Source organism: Homo sapiens, chromosome 15, assembly GCF_000001405.40.
Source record: "Homo sapiens chromosome 15, GRCh38.p14 Primary Assembly".
In the NCBI taxonomy this organism is placed as follows: Eukaryota; Metazoa; Chordata; class Mammalia; order Primates; family Hominidae; genus Homo; species Homo sapiens.
In genome coordinates this window covers 35,896,694-35,921,780 of record NC_000015.10, presented here as the reverse complement: position 1 = coordinate 35,921,780, position 25,087 = coordinate 35,896,694, and the positions used below count along the sequence as shown (strand labels likewise).

At 37.1% G+C, this 25,087-nt stretch overlaps 1 long non-coding RNA gene across 2 annotated transcripts in view; it reads right to left on the bottom strand.

Annotated features, from left to right (window-relative positions):
- LOC105370766 (uncharacterized) overlaps positions 1-1,886 on the bottom strand; it is a 56,276-nt gene extending 54,390 nt beyond the window's left edge. For both annotated transcript variants that reach the window (XR_001751478.1, XR_932104.3), the window contains exon 1: positions 1,748-1,886. This is a non-coding gene — a long non-coding RNA (uncharacterized LOC105370766). The remainder of the gene's footprint in view (positions 1-1,747) is intronic.
- Between the last annotated feature and the right edge of the window lie 23,201 nt (positions 1,887-25,087).

Genomic DNA, 25,087 nt, shown 5'->3' with positions numbered 1-25,087 from the left:
TAGTTGCCATGACATTGGTAGACAAAACTCAAGATAATCATAGGCTCCCTACTGGTCTGCCACTATGATGTGTTTAGAATTCAAGTCTTCCCAGATCCTGTTTAGCAGCCCAAATAAAACAGCAACAATAATAAAGGAAGTTCTACTGCTTTAAAAAAAAATACAGTGAAATGTAAATAAATTGTTAAAATAACTATTTTTCTAACAGAAACCTATAATAGAGAAGAGTCTGAGTCAGGGCAGCTGCATTAACATTAACACAATTAAGAGCCAAGCAATTACACACACATGGCCTACCAGCCTACCTGCTGTTTGCTGACCCTGCATAGGAGACACATATGTGTCACAACTGTAGCCAGATCAGAGTTGAAGGCAGAGCCCTGAAATTCACATTTTGTTAAAAAGGGGTGTTTTCTGAAGCATATTTACATCTCAGGCTTACATCATGTCTTTACATTTTATAAGGCATAATTTGAAATTTTCTGGCCCACTCAGATGGGAGCCAGAAGACAATGGAAGTATTCATTACTTTTGGCATGATTCTGTCTGTTCCTAGAAGAATCTTAAACTGTCATTGACCTCAATACATTTTTCAGCTTAAACCCCCATACATCTATGTAAGTCAATGTGTTCTTTTTGTATTTTTGCATTCTACTCCAAACTCAGCCACAAAAGTAAACTTTTGGCAAAAATGATTTAGGTTCAGTAAAATACCAAATAGGATTTGCCAAAAGTTAATGTCTCTTATATTTTAAGCCTCTGCCTATTCTGGGCAAAAGGCAACCCACATGTCTCTAATTCATTTATACTAAATGAGGTGAAATATTTTGTCAGTAGTCCGCTGTCTAAAGACGTTTTTGAGGTTATTGAATTAAGTTTCTTTTCCCCTTGTCTTCATGTCCCCATTGATCTGAATCCAAATACTTACTTTATAACTAGTGAAGCTCAAATAGTAAGTGATTCTTTTCAGCTTAAAGCCTAGTAACATGTGTACTCTTGTTTCTCACTCTTTATCAAAGTATTTATGACCTGATTATTTATTTGAATATAGTCTTCAAATACTTAACAAAATCTTACTAAATTATACAGTTTTCTTTGATGCTAAAACAGAAAAAAGAAACCTGAATATAAAAAAGCATGTCCCAGCTTGTATCAGAATAAAGATTAAATAATCATCTTCTTGTTCTTTTCACTATTTGACTCTACTTTAAATAAATTAATGTAGATTAACAGTCTCTTTTTCTGTTAGCAGCATCCAAAACCATGATGTGTCTTTTCCCATATTAAATATTAATACATAGATTTAATATGGAAAAGTTGGCTTTTTCTGACCACTCCTTCAACCACAATCATACATATCCAGTCCCTACTTACAATTTATGATTTTTCTTTGAAAATAATTGAACACTTCTGTTGCAATCCTGTTCCAGTATTGCAAAAAATAAAAATTTAAAAATGTAAATTCCACTGAAGGTCAGATATGCTGATAACAGTCTGCAGCCTGATACACTTGAAAATACTGCGCGACATGCAAAGGAAATTTCATGAAATGATAACCCATAAAAGAGTTATGTGAAGAACAGCCATGGACGTATAGAGTCAGGGCACTAAAGCATGGTGACAGAGACTGTTTTCCAAAGAAATAGTTTTCCTAACCTCAATCTTTATGTCAAATTGACTGAACCCATGTCAGAAAAAACTTTTCTCTAAACTGAATTGCTCATATTGTTGCTTAAATCTATTTTACCTCATCAAGTCATCTGTAAACATTCAGTCAGCTGGATCCCAAGCTCTCCTATAGTAACATGTTATGTTCCTGAAAATTATCAATGGGCTTGGGAAGGGTATGAAGAAATGAGACACTGATAACTGCGCTTCATGATGGAACTGACTAGAGAACGGAGCACAGTTTATTGGGCAGTTACATGGATATTGAAGCCAGGGGGCTGCGGTTTAAAACCTCACTCTGCTATCTACCCACATATTCTCTTTGGATACGTAACCTAACCTCTCTGTGCCTTCGTTTACTCAAATAAAAGAAAGGCTACAATGGAAGTTATTTTATATAACTATCATAGAATTAAATAAGCTAACACTCGTAAAGCAAATGTAGCCCACTCCCCCCCCCCCCCCACTGCCACCTTACAAATAGCTCATTCATTCCTTTTTTTTTTTTTTTTTTTTTTTTTGAGATGGAGTCTCGCTCTGTCGCCCAGGCTGGAGTGCAGTGGCGCCATCTTGGCTCACTGCAAGCTCCACCTCCCGGGTTCACACCATTTTCCTGCCTCAGCCTCCCCAGTAGCTGGGAATACAGGCGCCCGCCACCACGCCTGGCTAATTTTTTGTGTTTTTAATAGAGACGGGGTTTCACATTCATTTCTATCTCTTTGTCTTTCTAGAGCCCACTGCCTGTGTCTTTGTCAAAACCTGCCCAACTAAAGCATTAAAACCAGGCTACCTATCTACCTCCTCCTGGAAGAGCTCCAAGATTAATTCTATTTAATGCCAATTTCAATCTTACCTCAGGACTTGAGTAATGATTAAAGTATTTTTACAGAGATTTATTGTTTTGAAATCATATCATTTTATATATCTGATGTCTATCTCCCCAATTAGAAAACCAGCTCGAGAGCAGAAATATATTTCTCTTTTGTTTCTTGCCTACTCTATTTCCTTATCTTTACGACACACACACATACTTTAAAGTTCAAAACAATTTCCTTAGTTCATTCATTTAAGAAGTCAATGTCACTAAAAGAGACATTTAACCTAATATTTTTTAAAATTTTTATCAATACAAAATAGTTGTACAAATGTATATGTGATATTTTGATATAAGTATATAATGTATAATGATCCAATCTGAGTAAAACCTCTTTATTATTTGTGTTGAGAAAATTCCAAATCTTCTAGCTATTTCAAAATATACCATAAAACATTGTTAGCTATGGTCACATTAGTGTGCTATTAAACACTAGACCTTACTCCTTCTAACTGTATTTTTATACCTATTAACCATTCTCTCTTCATACCGTCTCCCCACTGCCCTCCCCAGCCTCCAATAACCACCATTCTATTCACTACCTCCATGAGATCAATTTTTTTTTAGCTCCCTCGTATGAGTGAGAGTATGTAACATTTCTCTTTCTGGATACAAATAACATAAAATTTACCATTTTAGCCATTTTTCAGTGTACAGTTCAGTAGTGTTAAGTATATTCACTTTGTTGTGCTACTATCTCCAGAACTCTTCTATTTTGCAAAACTGAAACTCCGTACCCATTAAAAGCTCCCCCTTCTTCCTTCCCCCAATCCCTGGTAATTCCTATTTTACTGTTTCCTTGAGCTTGACTACTGTAGATGCCTCATAAGTGGAATCATGCAGTATTTGTCATTTTGTGACTGGCTTATTTCACTTAGCATAATATCCTAAAGCTTTATCCATATTGTAGCATGTGTTGGAAAACCCTTCCTTTTCAAGACTGAATAATATTCCATTGTAGGATAAACATTTTGCTTATCCATTCGTCCATTGATAGACACTTAGGTTGCTTTCACCTTTCAGCTATTGTGAATAATGCTGCCATGAACATCAGCATTTGCCATGTGCTGTATATATCTGAGACCTTGCTTTCAATTTGAGGGGATATATACCTAGAAGTGAAATGGCTGCAAAAGAGTTTGATATCTAATAGTTATAGATATTTTCACACTATTAAAGAAATCACTGATGCTCTATTAATATTATAGTCAGTTATTGAATGTTCAGACCTGACACTAGACACTGGGAATGTAAAGATCAATAGGATGTGGTCCCTACTTTTAGAAAGCTCACTCACAAGATTTCAACTTCATGATGTATAAACATTCATTGAGTGCATGTGAGTCCTAAGAAAGAAGAGAAAGGCTTCATAGGGGAGGTTACTTTTGAGCTGATTCTCAAGTTATAAGTAGAAATTTACTAGGTAGAGGATCAAGGAAAGGCATCCTAAGGGAAAGAAATAACAGGTACAAAGACACAAGAGGTGGAATAGCACAGTAGACTGAGGGAATCATGAGGTCAGTGTGGCTGTAACGTAGGCTGCGAGGCAGGAACCGGAGAATGAAGAACTAGGGTGAGGCCAGATTGAAGTCTGATTGTGAAGGACACTGGATGACAAAGTAATAGTTAAATTTAACTTGTAGGCAAAGACATTTTCAGAAGGGTCCATCAGGAAAGTGCTGATGTGAATTGCTTCTGAGAATAAGAGAGGGTGGTAGGGAAGATTGGTGCCAGAGATAATAGATAAAAAGCCATTGAAAAAGCATAGGCAAAAGATAATGAGGGCCATCTTTTTGTTTGGTTATTTCTGGTAAAAGTGACTGCTGAAAAGGGTGTGGGGAGACAGAATACCAGAGACTAAACCTTGCTATTCCCTTATTAGCTGTCACTTAACCTCTCTGAGTTGTGGGATCCCATCGATAAAATATGAACAATAATACCCAGAGGATTATGAAGATTGAGCAAAGTGATGCTTATGAATGTGCTTTCTAAACTGCCACATTATGTGCAAATGTAAAGTGATCTCAATATTATTGTTATATACTCATCAATCTGATAATTTATTCAGAGAAGTGCATTATTTTAAATGTATTTTCCAGCTAACAAGTTATTCTATTTTCACTAATAACACAAGGTTGAATAAATCAAACCTCATTAAATAGAAGTCAATTCTTTCCAGTCCCTTGCATTTCAAATTAATGATGTAAAATGGTGTGGTAGGAAAGAAAATGGAGCTGACTAATCATTTCTGATCTACATGGATCCATTTTTGCCCATGTTTTCTCCAAGTTACATGACCTTTACTATCAGTGAGGACTACAACTTTTGGACATGCATAAAACCCAAAAAAGTTCTTCTTGTGTAACCCTTCAGTTTTTCTGAGCCATACACACACAGAAAAGATAGAAATATGGAATATTTGTCAAGATGATATCATATCCTGCAGATGGGCATTATATAAATGCAGATGCTGTTGGGTTATTTAAAGTGCTGTGGATGCAAAGGAGGACATTTTAGTTTTGAACTGACATAGACTCTAGACACAATGATGATAATAGGAGTTAGCAAGACTGTCCATTTATTCCATGCATTAGCAGCCCTGAGTTGTACATTTCCCAGCTACATCATGAGAGGAAGGCATGGCAGCCCTTGAAGGTGTGTGTGTTTTTTTTTCTCCCTGAGAAGAGACAGAACGAAAATAGCAATTATTTTTTTGAATCTAGAATAAATTGCTAAAAATTTGACTTGGAAAAGTAATCATGGAATTGTGAATACTTTTCCTTTCACGTGTGAGGAGTCAGAAGCATAATCGTTAAAATGATTTCGAGGGAAATTTTTAACTAAGCAAAAGAGTTAACATGTCAGTCAGAAAGTAATAGGTTGTTTGCATTGACTGGGCCATGTGTCAATGTTTTTGGCATATATAGTTTGAGTAGGATAGTAATCCTTGATATACAGGGTAAATTGCTTAGCATTTCAAATATCCCTTCAGTTTTGGGGAATAGGTGGTGATGAAGTTCAAAGTGTGGCATGTTGTACCCCGTCTTCAGATACGGCTGCAAGTGTGTACTTATCTGTCTAGCATTAGAATCCTGGGCGGATTTCTTTTACTGGCTCTGTCTCTGGTTTAGGAGAGCTGCCACCTAGGATGCCATCTACTTCCAAATCAAAAATTATCCTTCCTCTTGGTTTTTCTTGCCACAGCAGTATCATTTTTTCTTTCAAATACCGTTTGAATTGTTACTTTTTGCCTCCAAATAATAGTTGGTATTTTATTGACATTTTTTTGCCTTCATTGTTTCCAGAATGAACGTGAATCAGAATTACAGTAACATTTTAGTACATATCTTAGTAAATATTTTCACATATTCTGTCTGTTTGCTTTCTCTCCCAATATCTTTATCTATGAAGATTTTTTCTTTTTATCTCTTGTGGTCCAACCCTTTTGCCATGTCAAGTTGGTTCCCACAGTTAGAGAAATGATTTGGAGGGAAATTTTTAACTAAACAAAAGACTTAACATCAGTCAGAAAATAAGTAATAATACCGGATGTCTTTAACTCCCAATATGTCTAACTATCTATGAGGATATTTTCCTCTTATCTCCTATTGTGTAGACCTTTGGCCATGTCAGGTTGGTCTCCATAGTTAGAGGAAACTAACAACAGTGATGTGAATACCTTCTCTATCAAAGGACACTATTTGGTGAAATAAATCCCAGTGAGATAATTCGGACATTTCCCGCAAAATTACAAATTAAAAATTAAGTAGACCATTACAAGCCAGTAGAGGTAGGTTAGTCAAACTCATTCAAAACCTAGAACTTAGGCACAGCCAGTAGGTAAGAGGGTGATAACTAAGCGACTGCATAAAAGCTGCTGCTACAGTCAGCAGGACATCTTAAACAACAACTGTATCCTAAAACACACCAAAACAGATAGGTAGGTAGGGAGGTAGATAGCTAGCCAGATAGATAGACAGACAGACATATGATATCAGTCACTGAGAAGTCAATGTGTAGAAGAGAAAAAAAATATTCTTTAGGCCATGTCATATTCCTAACAATTTCAAATACCTTAATCGGTTTATCATTTTCCATAGCAGATAAAATAATTTAGATAATATATAAAAAGAGAGAAACAATCTTCATGGATATATTTTGCTTTCCTTTAAAAGGGCCTGTAATTCACCATAACAGTATTCCCCTATAAGCTTCTGTGAAGCAGGTTCCCTGTGCACTGGGTACTAACTTGTCTGAGTCCAGCAGGACAGATCACACATATATACAACAAACAGCACAAAGTGAGTTTATTACTTACAGATAGACATCAAGAGACAACAGAAGCTTAGGATTCAGGGTGAGTCGGTCACCCAAGACTCAGGAAAACACTATCCAGAACAGATTTCTTGTCTGCAGGTGCCCCACTTGCACAGCAGCTGAAGGACCACAGAATGCAGCCCACTCTGGGTTTTATACCCTGGGTCCATGTGATTCACTGGGCTAAAGTATTGTAAAGGACATTCTGTTTCTTAGAGGAGAGGGGACTAGAACAGAGTCCAGGCTATCTGGCCGGTCTCTTCCTATCTCATGACATTGCATTCTCACAACATTCTAGAGTTATTCTGAGAACTATAAGCAAAAAAGAGGAAAAATTGGATCAGTCCAAGGCTGCCCACAGAACTGCTCTTTAGCAACATGTTCCAAGCTGTCAGAAAAAAAAAATACCACATTATATTTATTTGGAGACCTTCTTAAGAATCTTCCAAGGTAATTCTGTTAACGGGTTGTACATCAACCTTGGAACTTGATCCCCTACTTAGGTGGCTCTGCTCTGGTAGCATCCACCATTTGGAGAGGCAGTGCAGTGTAAAGCAGGAGTTAAATGCTGTCATTCTGGAGCCAAATTGATTGGCTTCAATATTTTTGCCCGAGGATTCATTAACTGTGACTGGGTATGTTGCTTACCCCACCATGTCTCAGCTTTCGCATCTGCAAAATAATAGTTTCTCCTCTCTAAGGAGGGACTCCACATTACAGAGTGTTAAAACCACTTACAAAACTTGGTACAGATTAAATAAAAAAAAAAATGGACAGAATTACTTTCCTTCCCTTTTCTATTTTTCAAAGCCAAAGTCCTGCAATATCTAGGGTACCTGACTAATGTTGCTGCATCAAAATTCAAGCAATGCTGGAAAAAACATCAGCCTTCCCTTCACATTGGCTACCACTATGGTTGAAAGCAGTGCCACAGTTGCGAGATTTCACATGTGGGCTAAAGAATCCAGCCACGTCTTTGAGTTACCCAATTATCTTAATGGGAACAATGAGTTGTGTTAAAACTGAAAGCCCTTCCCTGACCACTAGTTGAAATTGGGTCCTCTAGTCACATACTCTCAAATCATCCTGTACTTCTCCTTCATCATACATACCACGATTTTATTTAAATAATTATGTAGTGTCCACCACCCCTCTGTTCCTGCCATTACCCAGCCCTCATGCCCCAGCATGTAAACTCAATGAGGATTGATCCAGTCTTCCAGTGTTTAACATAACACTTTGGGCGAAGCAGGTACTCAATAAATATTTACTGAATGAATAAATGGTAGATGGCAATTATATACGTGTATAGATTTAGATATTTTCTACTTTTAAGTGTAAGCTATGAGTCAGGAATGAGACCAACATCCATTTCTATATTGTCAGTTTCAAAGTCAGCTATATGCGTCACCATGTAAGTGTTCACTCAGTTCATCTGAATTTAACAAACACTTCTTGAGTACTACCATGTGCTACAGTACTCAGAATATAGAGATGCTTTCAACAAGTTCACCCTCCCCACATACCCTTTTCCCATCCAAACACACCAGTGGGGAAACTTTATATTATGATTTCATGAAACAAGCATTTGTTGAGTGATTACTGTGTACTCTGTTAAACATCTCTAGCCTGTGTTTCTTCCTTGGGTCTTCTTTTAATGGTACACACAGGAACACTTGCTCTCTTTGTTATGTATTGTGTGACTTTGCCTGTGAATAATCATTGCAGAGGAATAAATGGGTTCTTCTGGGTGAGCCACCTGTATTTGCAGCAATGCTATGTATTTGTTGTACATAGACCGGGAAGTGTTGCAGTTAAACATTTAACTTAGTTTTTCTTTTTTTTAAATTTTTTTTCATTATACTTTAAGTTCTAGGGTACATGTGCACAATGTGCAGGTTTGTTACATATGTATACATGTGCCATGTTGGTGTGCTGCACCCATTTTTACCCTCCTAAGTTCCTTGCAAATCTGATGGCTTGCCACAGCAGCATGCTTTCCAGTCAGGGAGTCTATCATTTCCATCTTAAGACTCTGCTGTCTCAACATTTAACTTGCAAGGTTGCTATGGCAGGGGACACAAACCATGGAAATCTCACTGTTCTTCTCTTTGGCCCAGACTGACATTACACTTATTGTCCATTGATCAGAGAGAGTCACACGACCCTACCTAACTGCAATGGATCCAGGAAGGAGCAGAGAACCAGACATGTCTAAGTGCTAAAAGTCTTTACCACACTGTTATATTATCCTTTTGTCAGGAGCAACTTGAATCAGTGGAGAGAACTGTGAGATAATCACAGACCACTAAAGCTGGACTTGATTAGAGAACATCTTCCATTCTCTGATTTTGCACCAGAAGGGACTGAGGCGAAAAGGTCACCCACAATTTCAGAACTAGTTAGAGGCAATACAGTAACTAGAAATTAGGTATCCAGAATCCCTAGCTGGTGAGAATAATGACGGCATGAACCATGCTTCTCATGGCACAGTCCCCTGTCTTTCCACATGGGCTCCTCATCAGTAGGAGGCAGCAGAATCAAATAAAAACAGAGCCTTTATGGAGTCACCCAGAGCCAAGCATTTCATATCAGTTGATTAAATGGAGTAGGAGCCTTCTATCTAATTTCAGTAGAAATTCCAGTTCCTTGAGCTTTCTATTTTCATGCAGTATATTATTTGCAATGAGAAATTCAGTAGGCAGGAACTGAATTTTGTTGAGCCCTGAGGCCTGGATTTTAAATTTTTATTAAGTATATATGTTGCCCTCCCACATCAAGCACAGATAGTTAAATTCTGGTTTGGAAAATTTGCTGGCATTTGTTGGGCACATATGAACTGCATTGTATCCTCTAGCACAGATAGCTTAGTTTGTATAGGTTATTCTCCCCTATTTATAATTTTTAGTGATGTTGAGAATAGATTTAGAATTTAGCAGTTTAATTTCCCACATTAGCTGAAAACACATTTGGTAGAAGAGAAGTTTTTAAAGAGAATATTCTTAAAATTGCCTTACTTGGGGTTCAGTTCATAGGATGCCAAAATACACTGAATTGTCTGTCTCTCTTCTTCCTTCACAGTCCCCTCTTTTCATGTATCTAGACCAAACATGCTTCTCTACTCAAGGGCCCTTTGTGCACTGACATGAGGGGTGACAAAAGAAGGTGGTAGTGGTAAACAACTTATTCGCAGGAGATGGAATCCCTCAGCCTTGACATCAGCTAAACCCCAAAGTGCCCTCTGATGCGTGTATACACTCAGATGATCTTACAGAGCCTTCTGGAGGCACAGCAGGCAGGAGCACAATTCAGTCCATTTCAAGTGCCACTGCACAACCACTTCTGGACTTTTCCCAGGAAACTTCCTTCCATCTTTAGAAGCTCCCTCAGCACAGCCTCTCCCACCCTGCCCAGCAGTCTGAATATTCTAATACCATTCCATTTTCTCAAAGTCACCCAATATTAAAAAAAAAGATGAAAAAAAATTAAGATTAGGTCTCAGCTTTCTCCTCCTTTTCAAATTCTGCTTCTTTAGCCCAGTACCCTCCAGCTGTGCATGGATATCAGTGACTTTTCAGATCCAATGCCAACTTCAGTCTGGAAATTGGCTGGCAAGCATTGCCAAGAGACCAGGCAATTGGCCAGTGCCCTCTGATAAATGTATACTTCCCCCTCCCTTCTCTGTAAACCAATTAGCTTCTTGTGCTGGCATGACTCTCCCCAGTCTGAGCCAATGCCCAAAATGGGAATTCTAGCATGCAACTCAATATGCTCCTCCTTAGCAAAAGGACAGCTAAAGAGAGACTTTAATCACAATGTTATACAAATTAATTGAGAATAGAACAGGTAAGATTTGTCAGAGTAACTAGATCACACTCAAGACAATACCCCTTTGCTTAGAGCCCACAGGTGCATGTGGCATTTGTCTGTGAGACACCATATATATCCTTGATAACCTTTATTTATTACCTTGCACTAAATTACTGGGACCTTGGTCAATTCATTGAACCTCCCTGGGCTCCACCCCTCTGAGCTGCAGAGTGGGGATCTCATATTCTTGTTGTTCTTTCTCACACTGTATAAAAGTGAGATGTGGTTATTAAAATGCTTTTAACAATTATAAAATAATATACAATAATTACAAAGTCATTTATTTTTTGCTGGGGTATTAAAAGGTATAACCATTTGAAAACTAATTTGTAGTATTACTGCATCAATTAGAATTACACCTGGCTGTCTGTGACAGAAAATCCAAAACAGGTGCTTCCATATAAAATATGTTCATATTTCTCCAATAAAGTGTCAAGAAATGAAGTTTGTTGCTGGTAAGGTAGCTCCAAGAAGGTACCCAAATTTCTTCTAGTCTGACATCCCCACATTGGCATCTCTATTCTCACAGTCCAAGATGGCCCCTAGACCTCCAGTCCTCATATCTATATTGCCGATACCAGTAAAGAAGAAAAGAACAAAGAGAAAGAAGGGACAATGGATATATGCAAGCTTGCATTTAAGAAAATATTCTGAAAACTGCCACGCATACACTTCCACTTAAATATCATTAGCCAGACTTTAGTTAAATAGTCACACTTAGAAGCAAGGGAGGATAAGAAATGTCTCTTCCAGATATCCATGTGTCCAATTTGAAAAATCAAGTGAGAATGGGTTTTAGGGTTGGCAACCAGCAGTTTCTGCTCCACCTAATAAAATTGAACATATATATACCCTATGACCCATCAAGGCCATATGTAATTATATGCTTTATAGAAACTGTCTCATATGGCTAGACAGAAAAACACACAGGGGTTTTCACTGTGGCAGTTTTTCAAAGAATAACATTGTCTGAAGGAAAGGAATGAGTAAATAAATTGGTTTATTCTTACTACAAATCATACATCAACATACATGAGTTAATTACTTTCATTTACATAAATCAACCTAGATATATCTCAAACAATTTTGAGTGGGAAATAGCAAGCTAAAAAACGTATATGAAGTATGACACTATTTATGCAAATTTTAAAAGTACATGGAACAATACTATTTATTCTTTATGAATACAATTATATAGAGAGAAAATGTTTAAAATATATCTGGATGATAGACCACATATACAACGGTGGTCCCATAAGATTAATATATGGTATTTTTTACTGTACCTTTTTATGTTTAGATATGTTTAGATACACAAATTCTTACCATTGTGTTACAATTGCTTACTGTATTCAGTACAGTAACCTGCTGTACAGGTTTATAGTCTAGGAACAATAGGCTACACCATATAGCCTAGGTGTGTCATAGGCTACACTATCTAGGTTTGTGTAAGTACACTCTATAATGTTGAAAATGCCTAATGACACATTTCTCAGAACATGTCTCCCTCACTAAGCGACACATGATTGTAATTATAGAATTCTAGGCAAAATACTTATTGGCTGTAGTTGCTATCTCTTATTGCATTACCTTTGGAGTCATAAGGTAGGTGCCAGCTAAATACGTAGAAAGTCAGTAGAGACCTATTCACCCCAAAGAATGGAATATGTGTACTGACTTCCAAAAATCGCCTAGTGGTTAACCAAAGGTTCTGCACATACCTCTATTTCAGGTGACAGGTTAGAGACTATTACCTATAAGCAAGGTACAGTTTATTTTATATCTTTTGTATTATCTTAAAAGTTTCTTATTCTACTGCTAGAGATTCTTTCCTTCGGCAATTCTGTGCCATGCCTTTCCATGCTTGAGAAAGGGAGGGGCATTCAGGGAAAAAATATAGTTAAAGTGAATTTTCACTAGGAGGACACACACTAAAGTTAGAACTAGTTCCTGTAGAAACTTCACCTACAACTAAAGAAAAGTCTACTGCTCATTTTTATTGGGTATTAGTGAAATACATACGTCATTTATTGACATAAAGGTCTATATGTAAAGAAACAAATTGATTTCTTTTAAAGTCTTAAAAATCAACTATCCTCTGACTAAACAGAAAAGTTTTGTTAAGCAGAAAACCTTTCCACTGATTATTAGCCTGCCTATAAATTTCAGCTTTCAAATGCCATAGGACTATATTCTTGGTCTTTGGAGAATTTCTCCCAACAGATTCCTATATGTACAAAAAGATTCATACAAATGTGGGGGTTCCATTACAGATTCCAAAAGAAGATCTCTTTCCCTTCTGCTTTTTTCTTGGTTTTATGTACAGCAAGGAAGAGATCGCAAAGGAAATTCCATTCCTACTCTAAAAATTGAAATGGCAGCTTATATTTTAGGTGGTCTTAGCATTAGTTATTTTCCAAGGAGAAAGAAACCAGTGTTATTTTTCTAAATGAAAAGAAGCTAGTGAAAAAAATTATAAATATTGCTTGGTTTCCAATTCTTAAGGGAGTGGTGTCCAGAGAGAAACAAAATGCCTTGTTTTGATGTCATTTGAATGTCCAAAGTTGATACCTTTCACAAATGGAGTAGATACCTCTGTGGCTTGCCTGGAGAACTTTCAGAATAGCCTCCAAACTAAAACTATTTTATTCACCAGCTTGCCTCCATACCTGAAATCCCTACTAGTTACATTCTTTTTCTGTGCCTCTGCATTCCTTATAAGAATTCTACTACTTCCTTAGGCCAGGTGCAGTGGCACACACCTGTAATCCCAGCACTTTGGGAGGCCGAGGCAGGCGGATCACCTGAAGTCAGGAGTTCGAGACCAGCCTGACCAACAGGGAGAAACCCTGTCTACTAAAAATGCAAAATTAGCTGGGTGTGGTGGCGAATGCCTGTAATCCCAGCTACTCAGGAGGCTGAGGCAGGAGAATGACTTGAACCCGGGAAGCAGAGGTTGCAGTGAGCCAAGATTGCACCACTGCACTCCAGTCTGGGCAACAAGAGCGAAACTCCATCTCAAAAAAATAAATAAATAAAAATTTTAAAAAAAGAATTCTACTACTTCCTGCTGCCAACAATGCAGCAAAGTTGACAACATAATATTTGGTAAAATAATATACGTGATTACTAATAGTTTGTTCTTTTATTTTTGAGTAGCTTCTCACTGTGTGTGTGTTCCAAATGTTATACATCCATTCACCACTTGATGACTATTTGGGTTTTTCCACTTTGTACTATTATGAATAAACCTGGTATGGACATTCACATTTAAGTCTTTTCACGAACACATGGACATTCACATTTAAGTCTTTTCACGAACACATGCTTTCATTTTTCCTGGATAAATGCCAAGAAATGACATTGCTGGGTCAAACGGTAAGTGTATGTTTGACTTTACAGGAAATATCCAAACTGTTTTCCAAAGTGAATTTATCATTGTACATTCCCACCAGTACTGTAGAGGGTTTTAGTTGGCCTATGTCCTCAAAGTAACTTCTGAAAGGAAGATAGAAAACAATAACAAGAGGAGACAGAGAGTTTAGTATAATATAAACCCCTTTACAGGATCTTCCAGTGTTGAAAACTACCTCCTAGTAGCTGCCCTTCTCTCTCATCTACCTCACTTGTTTCTGCCTACAGATGTTCAAAGATGGGTACTACCCTAAAAAGAGTAGCATCCATCTCCTTGGCTAAGGCAAAGGTCTGCCTTAGATTATCAAAGTGTTTGGAGGCTGTTTACCGGTTTTCTTTCTCCTGCTTTTTCAGATTTATCAGCTTTCCTGATTCCTGTTTGCCTACATTTAAGACCTTTTTACACCTCCTTTAATCTCTGAGTTGTGCCTTCCTTGCTTGTCATCTGCCTGATGAACTTGTTTTTATGTTTCTTTTTCATTAGTGCATGGACTCTGACTTCCCTACTTTGTTCATACTGAAGGTTTTATTTTGACTCTTCTTGAAAAGTGGCCTAAGCTGGCCGGGCACGGTGGCTCATGCCTGTAATCCCAGCACTTTGGGAGGCCGAGGCGGGTGGATCACGAGGTCAGGAGATCGAGACCATCCTGACTAACACGAAGAAACTCCGTCTCTACTAAAAATACAAAAATTATCCGGGCGTGGTGGTGGGTGCCTGTAGTCCCAGCTACTCGGGAGGCTGAGGCAGGAGAATTGCTTGAACCTGGGAGGCGGAGCTTGCAGTGAGCCAAGATCACGCCACCGCACTGCAGCTTGGGCGACAAGGCGAGACTCCGTCTCAAAAAAAAAGAGAGGAAAGAAAAATGACCTCAGCCAATTTGGTCACACCAATTATGACCTTTTTGGTAGATAATTATAGCCACTATATAGAATTACAGCCATAGCCTCTCCAACATGAGCAAGTTTCTACATTCTCCAAGATATGGTGACATTTATGAAACTCATTTTTAATAGCAAACAGGCACAGAACAGTTTATACAACTTGTTTTGTAAGTTCAATGAAACCCTAGTTCTCTGTCCTTTTAAAGATGCCTACCTTATCTTGCATAGGAGATTCACTAGAGGCAGATGAATCAATATCAGAAGCAGAATTTCATGTCCCTGATAACCTACACTGGCATGAATGGCTAGATACAGGATAGAGCCACAGGCACCATCCTTGAGGGTACAGGCTACAGAAGGTCTGCTAGATTCGTAATTTCTATTTACGAAAGGGTAGGGAATGTTTTTAAAATACTCTATCCATTCCATATACCACAAATACCACTCATTTCACCAGTAAAAGCCTACTTTTAAAGTTTATTATGCCAACTAATGAACTACAAATTTCACCAATGAAAACTCCTTTTTGGCTTTCACTCTAACGTCTGGTGCTAATCAAAGATAATATAACCAAAAGCACTTATAATAATAGGCACATTTAGGGCATGGACCTTCTGAAAACATCTTATCTGGCCACCTCTGAAAACCAAATTTCTGATTAGAACAGTATATAGCATGTTACTTAAACTAAGCAGTACCCACATATACACACACTACTTAATTTTTTTGAAAAAGTATTTTAAAGTATATTGTAGATACCATAACAACCCTGGAATCCTGCCTTGGAAATAACATTTATTGAACACCCACTATATGCCAGGCAGTCTGCTAGGTGTTTTATAATTATACTTAACATACCTCATCTAGAAAATTATAACTCGAGAAGTAGGTATCATTACGCACACTTATTTTAAAAAGAATTTTAATTTGCCCAAGGTCATTTGAGGCAGTAGAGCTGGTGTTAAAATCAAAGTCTACTGATCCTCACAGTGATATTTTAGCGAATTTTCAGTTTAAGTGATATAAACACATTTTTTTCTAGGATCTACTCAAAGATATAACTAAGTCACTGTTTTTAAATCTTTTGTTTGTTTTTTAATCCTTCTTACACTTTTTTGGTTAGTAAATAGCTTGAAGAATCTAATTAAAGTACTTGTCTTTCTTCCTATTGGAATGGACAAACATGCCCAATTTTGCCAATAACTTCAAAAGGGTTGTGAAAACTTCCTTTTTCCTCCCAAGTCCCTGAATGAATCTTAGATTAAGAATGCTTGCAACAGGGAATGTTAAATGTTTCTTTACTATAGGATTGTAATCTACACTATTTGCTCTGGCTTTTTTGTTTGCACTTCTGAATGTGTTACTTTTTTCTAAGATACAACAGCTGTTTACCTTCTCTCTAATTGTGCTTCTTCATTTTGTAATGTCTCCGGACATAATTGATTTGTGAAGACCAGCAGCAGGAACCCCTTTTTGGTGACTACACTTGCAAGGTGTGTGTTATACCATTTTCCCTGTATTCATATCTCAGAAACTGTATCTGATGACTGTCCAAAGCCACTATGGAAATACAGTCTCCAAACCAAAGGCCCATCCAAGATTCAACTGGCCATGAAGTGGCCTCACTTTGATCACCTGAGCACAACATCACACCTGTCTTTCTGTGTCCCTCCAGGTTCTTTAATGCTATTGACATTATATGAACTTTCCTAGACTTGGTATGGTGGCAGTTCTCTGTGTCATGTGACCAAAGTCCTTCTCTAAAGCCAGTCTGTAAGCCATTGTTAGCGTAATTTAAACATTAATTATGAAAACTGTCCCCCAAATGCCATGAAAATAAATAAACTACTGAGCCACTACTGAGCAAACTACCTTACTGCTGAGGCTTAGACAAACAGTAGAATGATTAGTAAAAATGCATTACTAGGCTCAGTTATATTTCACACAGTATTTGACAATCCATAGGGCCCACTTCTCTTTCCCCCATAAATAAGATATACAATTTAATGGTTCTCTTTTATCTCACACATCATAGAGAATCTGCAAGAATGTCACTTAACCTCTTCAATTCATCTTTCACTGGCTATATACTTACAGATATGAATGAACAGAAATAGTAGCAGTTTTTATTTTTTGCTATGAATATGTACTTTTATATTGCCTCTGATAAAGTGAAAATATATATTCCATTATGGAAAAATTGCCAATGCCATACATTAAGAATGATTCTGAAGCTTACTAAAATACAACTAGCTACGCAATTTGGCATTTTTGGTCCATGTTGAATCCATTCCAAAGTATTTCATTACATAAAAATTACTAAAAGAACCTCCTCTCAATTGAGTTTTTTCAATAATTCAATCTTCAGGCATATGTAGAAACATTAGCATGAAAATGAAACGATAATGCAAGGTAACCATATAGGAGTTTATTCTAGGCAGAAATTAATGAAAAATGATCTAGTATTAAAACTATGCTCTGCTAAAAAGGAACTTCTTTTTTGTTTGTTTGTTTGAGGCAGAGTCTTGCTCTGTCGCCCAGGCTGGAGTGCAGTGGCCCAATCTCGGCTCATCGCAAGCTCCCCCTCCCGGGTTCACGCCATTCTCCTGCCTCAGCCTCCCGAGTAGCTGGGACTACAGGCGCCCGCCACCACGCCCGGCTAATTTTTTGTATTTTTAGTAGAGACGGGGTTTCACTGTGTTAGCCAGGATGGTCTCAATCTCCTGACCTCATGATCTGCCCGCCTCGGCCTCCCAAAGTGCTGGGATTACAGGTGAGAGCCACCGTGCCGGCCAGGAACTTCTTTTTTAATCCATTCAATGATGATTCTTAAAAGAGGCCATCCACTATAAGGTGATGATCAAGCACGTTTTGGCAACACCAGATACAGGCAACATTTTGAGAAGTTGCATTTTCCTTAAAAATATCTTTGTTTTCCCTGTAACATTTCAAAGCACTTTGATCTTAGTTTTTATCTCATTCTTACTAAACCTTACTAAATTTAAGATTCGATGGGTCAATCAGTTTTTTTCTCATATATAAAATAGGGGCAGTAACAGTAACTACTTAATTTTCTTGTTATGCAAATTAAATCAAATAAAAAGCCTGGCATAGAAGACTTCTGGTTTCAGCTCCAACATAGAAAAAGCTTGTAAATTGTCAACCCTGCCCTTACAACAGAAAAGCCTGGGCAAACTACAACCAAAACACTTTTTTGGACCCATTATTAAAACTGAGGTCATAAGGCAAATAAGCACTCCACAATCTAGAGAAACAGACACAACTAGAGAGACACAGCCAAGATCTGCCTACCTGGAACATACACAGCTAGAAACGTAAGTGATAGGAACACTTATATGATAATTTTGGTGAACTGCTGAAGGCAAAGCATGGACAGCATGAGAGTGAGGAAATTCTGAGAGTTTCAATGTTAGGAGGGTCCCCATATTTTCATGGGTTTTACTTCCAGAAATCCCACAAGGTTCTTACGATAAAGATCAGAGAAAGATTTCCCTCTTACATCTCTGGCTCTGGCAAGGGATGGGGAAATGCAGTCATCAATATGAAACAAGCCTAGAGCTTAATTCTTTATAACAAAGACCTATTCTCCAAGAGAGAAAACTTTGCCAAAGAATACTCTGTTTACCTCAGTTCCTATCACTCAATACAACATAACTGGTTTCAGCAAAAATTACAAGGCTAATAGGAATGGAAAAGCTACGTAACTTTGGAAGAAAGCATGGCAGAGTCTTATCTCAGCTAGCTCCTCCCACACCACCAGCCCACATACCTCTAGCATCAGCCCTCTCCTCCTCTCTGCAGCCTTCCTGTCTCATCTAAGGTTAAAAAGTCAATAGAGTAAGTATTAATCCATTCTCATGCTGCTAATAAAGACATACCCTAGACTGGGTAATTTATAAAGGAAAGAGGATTAATTGACTCACAGATTCACATGGCTGGGGAGGCCTCACAATCATGGTGGAAGGCAAAGGAGGAGCAAAGTCACATCTTACATGGCAGGAGGCAAAGACAGCTTGTACAGGGGAACTCCCGTTTATAAAACCATCAAATCTCATGACACTTATTCACTACCATGAGAACAGTATGGGGGAAACTGTCCCTATGATTCAATTATCTCCACCTGGCTCCACCCTTGACACATGGGGATTATTATAATTCAAGGTGAAATTTGGGTGGAGACACAGCCAAACCATATCAGTAAGGGATTCAGAAAAATAGATTGGACATTCTGAAGTCATGGTGAGGGGTGAGGATAGGAGTGAGAAAGTTATGCCATGGAGAAATAAAAACTTGGGAAGGTCCAGAGACACAGGCCCATGGAAAGACAGAGATTTAATCATAAGACAATAGAATGTCTCCCTTCCCCATACCTGATCACAACACCAATGTAACTTCCACTGGTGTATGATGATAGCAGATTACAGCTAAAGAGCTGCAAGATGCAGACTTCCTCTGGGGAGTATCTTGGGAAGCCCAAAATTAAGAAAGGAGACAAAAGCTTTAACACTAGAGAAATTTGAAGTCTCTGGCACCTACAGCTACAGCATACATTAAACACAGTCCAACCACTAGACTGACTTAATCCTCACACTGAAGTCCCATTTATCTCCATTTCTACCACCCAATGCAACACAAAAGTGAACCTTCCTTAACATATAAATTTTTTAAAAATTATTTAGGAGCCTGGGGGTTTCCAGGATGTAATGGGGAATGTGACAAAATAATCTCACTGTATTATAAATATATAAAACAATCTCACTGGAGGAGGTGAGGGGAAACAGTGCTTACTAGTGCAACTTTGAAAATGAGAGGAGCTTGCAAAACTAAAGACAACAGAAACTGTACATAATACTGTGCTCAATTGATTAAGTTGTTTCCCGTGAGGGTATGAGTTAACAATTCTGCTACCACGATACGTGTATACTGGAATTTAAAAAATAAATAGATGGCTGATGTTGGGAGCCAGGTTTCTTACTTTGGAGGGGAAGTTACAAATAGGCAAGAGATTGAGGCTAGAATGATCCATGATACAGTGGATTAGAATAGGGGACATCAGTATTAATTTGTGTATACCCTAATAAAGATACTGATGGTTACATATAGAAATATGTATAAATACATTTATATACACAGGTTAGTATACACACTCATTTCCTTGCTTTGTCAACTGAAAGGACCAAAAGTTGTAGCACTTGGTTACAATGAGCATGCCCAGTATCCAGATCTTGGTTTCCAATCCTCCAATAAAGGGAATCAGGGATCTTAGAGAAGTGGTTGAGTCGTAGACTAGAGCAGAAGATGTACAAGATAAGCGTGAAGCATCTTACAGTATCAAATAGTATGTGGACAGCATGAGAGTGAATTCTCTCTCTCTCTCTCTCTCTCTCACACACACACACACACACACACACACACACACACACACCCTATAACAGGGCATGGTCAAGGGACATAGGAGCCAACTGAAACAGCTCCCAGTGGTCAAAGCTGGAATAATTTGAACCAGAAAGTAAAGTATTATTATATTGTAATGTAAATAAATAAATTAGGGAGAATAAACAAATGCCCCATGTAGGAGAATTCTAAGTAATTTATGTAGATATACCATCCTCAAGAGGGCAGAACATAACTCACTACTTCTTATAGTGGGGTATATATAGTGACTTCCTTCCAAAGAGTACAGTATAGAAAGGGAAGGGGGACTAGTAACTTTTATAGCTGAGAGAACTGACACACATCACCTTAGCCAGGATATCAAGGTTAACACATCAACAGTGATGTCATTTTGATAGTATGTACCCTTGATATGATGTGATGAGAATGACACTTTACCTCTGTTTTCTTCCTCCCCAAAAATCTATAATACCAGTCTAATCATGAGAAAAACATCAGAAGAATACCAATAGAGGAACATTCTGCAATATATACCAGACTCCGTAAGACTGTCAAGATCATCAAAAAACAAGAAAAGGCTGAGAAACTATCACAACCAAGAGAAGCCTAAGACAACATCATGACTAAATGTAATGTATTCAGGATAGGATCCTGGAATAGAAAAAGGACACTAGGTAAAACCTAAAAAAAAAAAAATCAATAAATTATGGATTTTAGTTAATAATGTATCAATATTAATTGTGCAAATGTACCATAATAATGTACCTATAATAAGTATTTCAGTCAGGGTCTCACTCTGTCACCCAGGCTAAAGTGCAGTGTTGCAATCAGGACTTACTGCAGCCTTGACCTCCTGGGCTCAAGCAATTCCCCAACTTCAGCCTCCCAAGTAGCTGGGACCACAGGCTTGCACCACCATGCCCAGCTAATTTTTGTATTTTTTTGTAGAGACAAGGTTTTGCCATGTTGCTCAGGCTGGTATTGAATTTCTGAGCTCAAACAAGCTGCCTGCTTCAGCCTCCCAAAGGGCTGGGATTACAGGTGTGAGCTACTGCGCCTGGCTTTAATTAAAAGTATTTGAAACTGAGTGCCAGGTATAGGGGAACCCTGTACTATCTTAATCTTTCTATATCAAACTGTTCTAAAATTAAAAGTCTACTTTTTAAAAAGTAGGTAGCATGATCTCTACCTCATGGAATGTACTTAATAAATGTCAACTGTTATTATCTTCTACCTGACAAATACTAAGTCACCAGGGATTTCTATGGTCAAAGAGAAGTCAGATAATTATTGGATGCTTAAATAGAATATTGACCTGTAATTAACCTGAATAATTCTAGATCTAAAAAGAAATGACTAAAGCATAGATTAGCCAGATTACCAGTCTCTCATTTTGCTTCAAGAGCCAACCATAGAATAATATGAGAGTCAGAATATAAGGTAGAAAAAATACAAATCCTAAGTGATTTTCTCTCTTAACCTATAAGCGAAAATGAACAATATTGCCTACTACCAAAAGCCTTGTATTGCTTTCAAGGTGATGTCATCTAGTCCACTTTTGAAAGCTTACTGCATAGTCCTCACAAGGTCATTTATATTTCAATAGTAAAGACCCTTAAGGTATAAAAGCATGCATGCAATATTACTAAGGCTCAGAGAGGCCGTTTAAAAATATTGGAGGAGATAAGAGATGTGAATAGAAATAATCGAATATTTCATTGGATAATTGTCTGCTTTTTAAAAATTACTAACATTCCTTGGCATTCATCCCTTTTCTCATCTTTCAAATATATCCTTTTGAGAAATTTTAAGTTGCTGAAATATTGCCAACTAACCATTCATTTACAATCAGGGCCATGCGGGATGTGGGGGGAAATGTTGCAAAGCTTTATTTCAAGACTATTTTTCACTTTACAAAATGAAGAAACTCCTATAATTTCCCATAGCTTTGGAAGAACCACATAAATATAATCTCACCTCTGAATTTACTATACCTCACCCAACCTTCCCATGTTTTGTCTTCTAGATAGGTTGCAGTTACCAAGATTTGCCTCCATCATTTCTGATTTCTTTGTACAAATAAATTCATAGACTCATGACAAGCCTTGGATTTAAAGGTTTCATTGTGCTGTTAATGGAAAAACTAGCACACAACCTTGCTTCTGCCATTGCCCACCAAGGTGCATCTTTTTAAAAAAATTTATGGCTTAATCAAAGCCATTGCCTATATTTATATTTTAATACTAAATTTTCCTATCAAAGATGATATGTAAAATATTGAATTATATACAGGATACAAAATAATCTAGTTTTTAATACTCCAAAAATATCTGCCCATCAAAAAGTCCCTCTGCATCCCCTTCTCATTAGGATGCATAAACAATAGTACGTATACAATGGCTACACTGGCCAGTTTAAGAGTTTTTCCCAGCATGAGTTATAAAGCTGGTCAAGTTAGTCATGAGAAGGCTTTGTTTTCTAGCACACAGTTTTTATTCTCAGAACCACCTGCTTTAAGCATGATGTCAACACATCCCTAAGTGTACATTTATACTAAAGTATATTCCTCCCCTTTCAGGAGTATTTCCATTTTAATAACAATGCCTAAAGACTTTCTAAAAATCCCATGAAGTTAAAAGGTGCAACTCTCTAATGGTGGAATTTTATACTCAGATAATGGAGGGAATGGAAAGTGGAAATGCTCAAAGCTGCTTGAATCACACCCAGACCGGCAGCCTCATATTCTACTGTTTTTCATTTATTTTTTGTACATAGCCTCTTGCTATGTGAAATCACTTCACTTTGTCTAAATTATATTTCTTTCATAAAAACAGAGTTTAAACAGCATTAAATGGCATTTCAATAAAATCCATATGTAATTCCATCTCAAGCACAGATTTTGCAAACATTTTTACATTGCTAGATTTTATTTTAATTGTTGCAAACCGTAAATTTAGTTTCTTTGCATTCCACTTCCTAATGTGTTCGTTCATTTAAAAAATACTTAAGTACCTACTATGTGCCAGGTACTGTTCTAAGTGTTGGAAATATATCTTTGAACAAACAGATAAAATTCCTGAGTTCATGGAGCTTACATTCTATTGAAGGGCAGAAATATGTACACAATAAATATAATACCTAAGAAAATGGTATATGCTATTTTTTAAAATAATAAAGCAGGGTAAGAGAGCTTAAGTGTGAAGACTGGGAAGAAAGATAAAATGTAAGATAATGTAGCTGGGGTAGCTATACTTGCATGGTGACATTTGAGCAAACACTTGCAAGAGATTAGTTAGACATGTGGGCATCTGGGAAAAGATACTTCTAGAAAGAGCAAATAGTCAGTGCAAGTTGCGAAGTATCTTCCATGTCTGAGAAGCAACAGAGTGGCCCGTATGGCTAGGGCAGAGGGAATAACAAAGAGGGTAGAAAAAGATGATGTCAGAGAGGTAATAAAGGCCAAAAAACGTAGGGCCTTGTAAGCCATTTTAAGGACTTTGGCTTAATTATTATGCAATTTTTCGGCAAGTGGTTAACCATTTTAAGGCTTACTTTATTTAATATGTAAAAAGAGGAGCAACCAACTAAAAAAGAGGTACTGCTAATAAACCAATATGAAGTTGAAATGAAATAATAAATATTAATTGATCCAAAATAAGATAAAAAACAAACACATAAAAAGAGGGAAAAAAAGGAACATAAAAGATGGAGATAGCAAATTAAACCCAACCAAAAGACAACAATCATTTCATTAAATGTAAATGGTCTAAATATAAAGAGCATATTGTCAAATAAATAAAAAACTAAAATCTAACTATATGCTGTCTATAGGAAACATGCCTTGAATATAAAGCACAGGAAGGTTAAAAGTAAAAGAATGGAAAAAGATATGTCATACTACATCTAATCAAAAATAAAGTTGGGGTAGCCATATTAGTATCAAACAAAGTAGATTTCAAAGTAAAAACTCTTATGAGGACAAACATCACAATAAAAAAGAAGACAATATACCAATAAAACATAACAAATCTAAATGTATCTGTACCTAATAACAGAATTTCAAAATATAACCAAAAGTTTATAGAACTGAAAAGAGAAATGGACAAATTCATAAGTATACTTGGAAATACCAAAATTCCCTTCTCTATAATTAACAGAATAAGTAGACTAGAAATAACTAAGAAGACTTGAACACCACCACATGCTAGACCTCACCAACATTTGTAGAACACTACACCCCAAAATGGCAAAACACACATTAGAAAATGGGCATTGAATATTTACCAAGCTAGCCCATGTAAAAAATATTAATAAATACAAAGAGACTGAAATTGTAAGATGCATATTCTCTGACCACAACACAATCATAGCAGAAAACAATAATTAAAAGATATCTGGAAAATCTCCAAAAATTTGGAAATTATGCAGAACATTTCTATATCATGGGTCAAAAAGAATCACAAGGGAAATTATAAAGTACTTTGTACTGAGTGAAAATGAAAATACAACATATGAAATGTGCAGAATGTAGTCAAACATGCCTTAGAGGGAGATATGCAGCATAAATTACTTGTAATCAAAAACACGAAAAATTTCAAATCAAGTCTCAACTTACACTTTAGGAAACTTGAAAAAGAAAAATTAAAA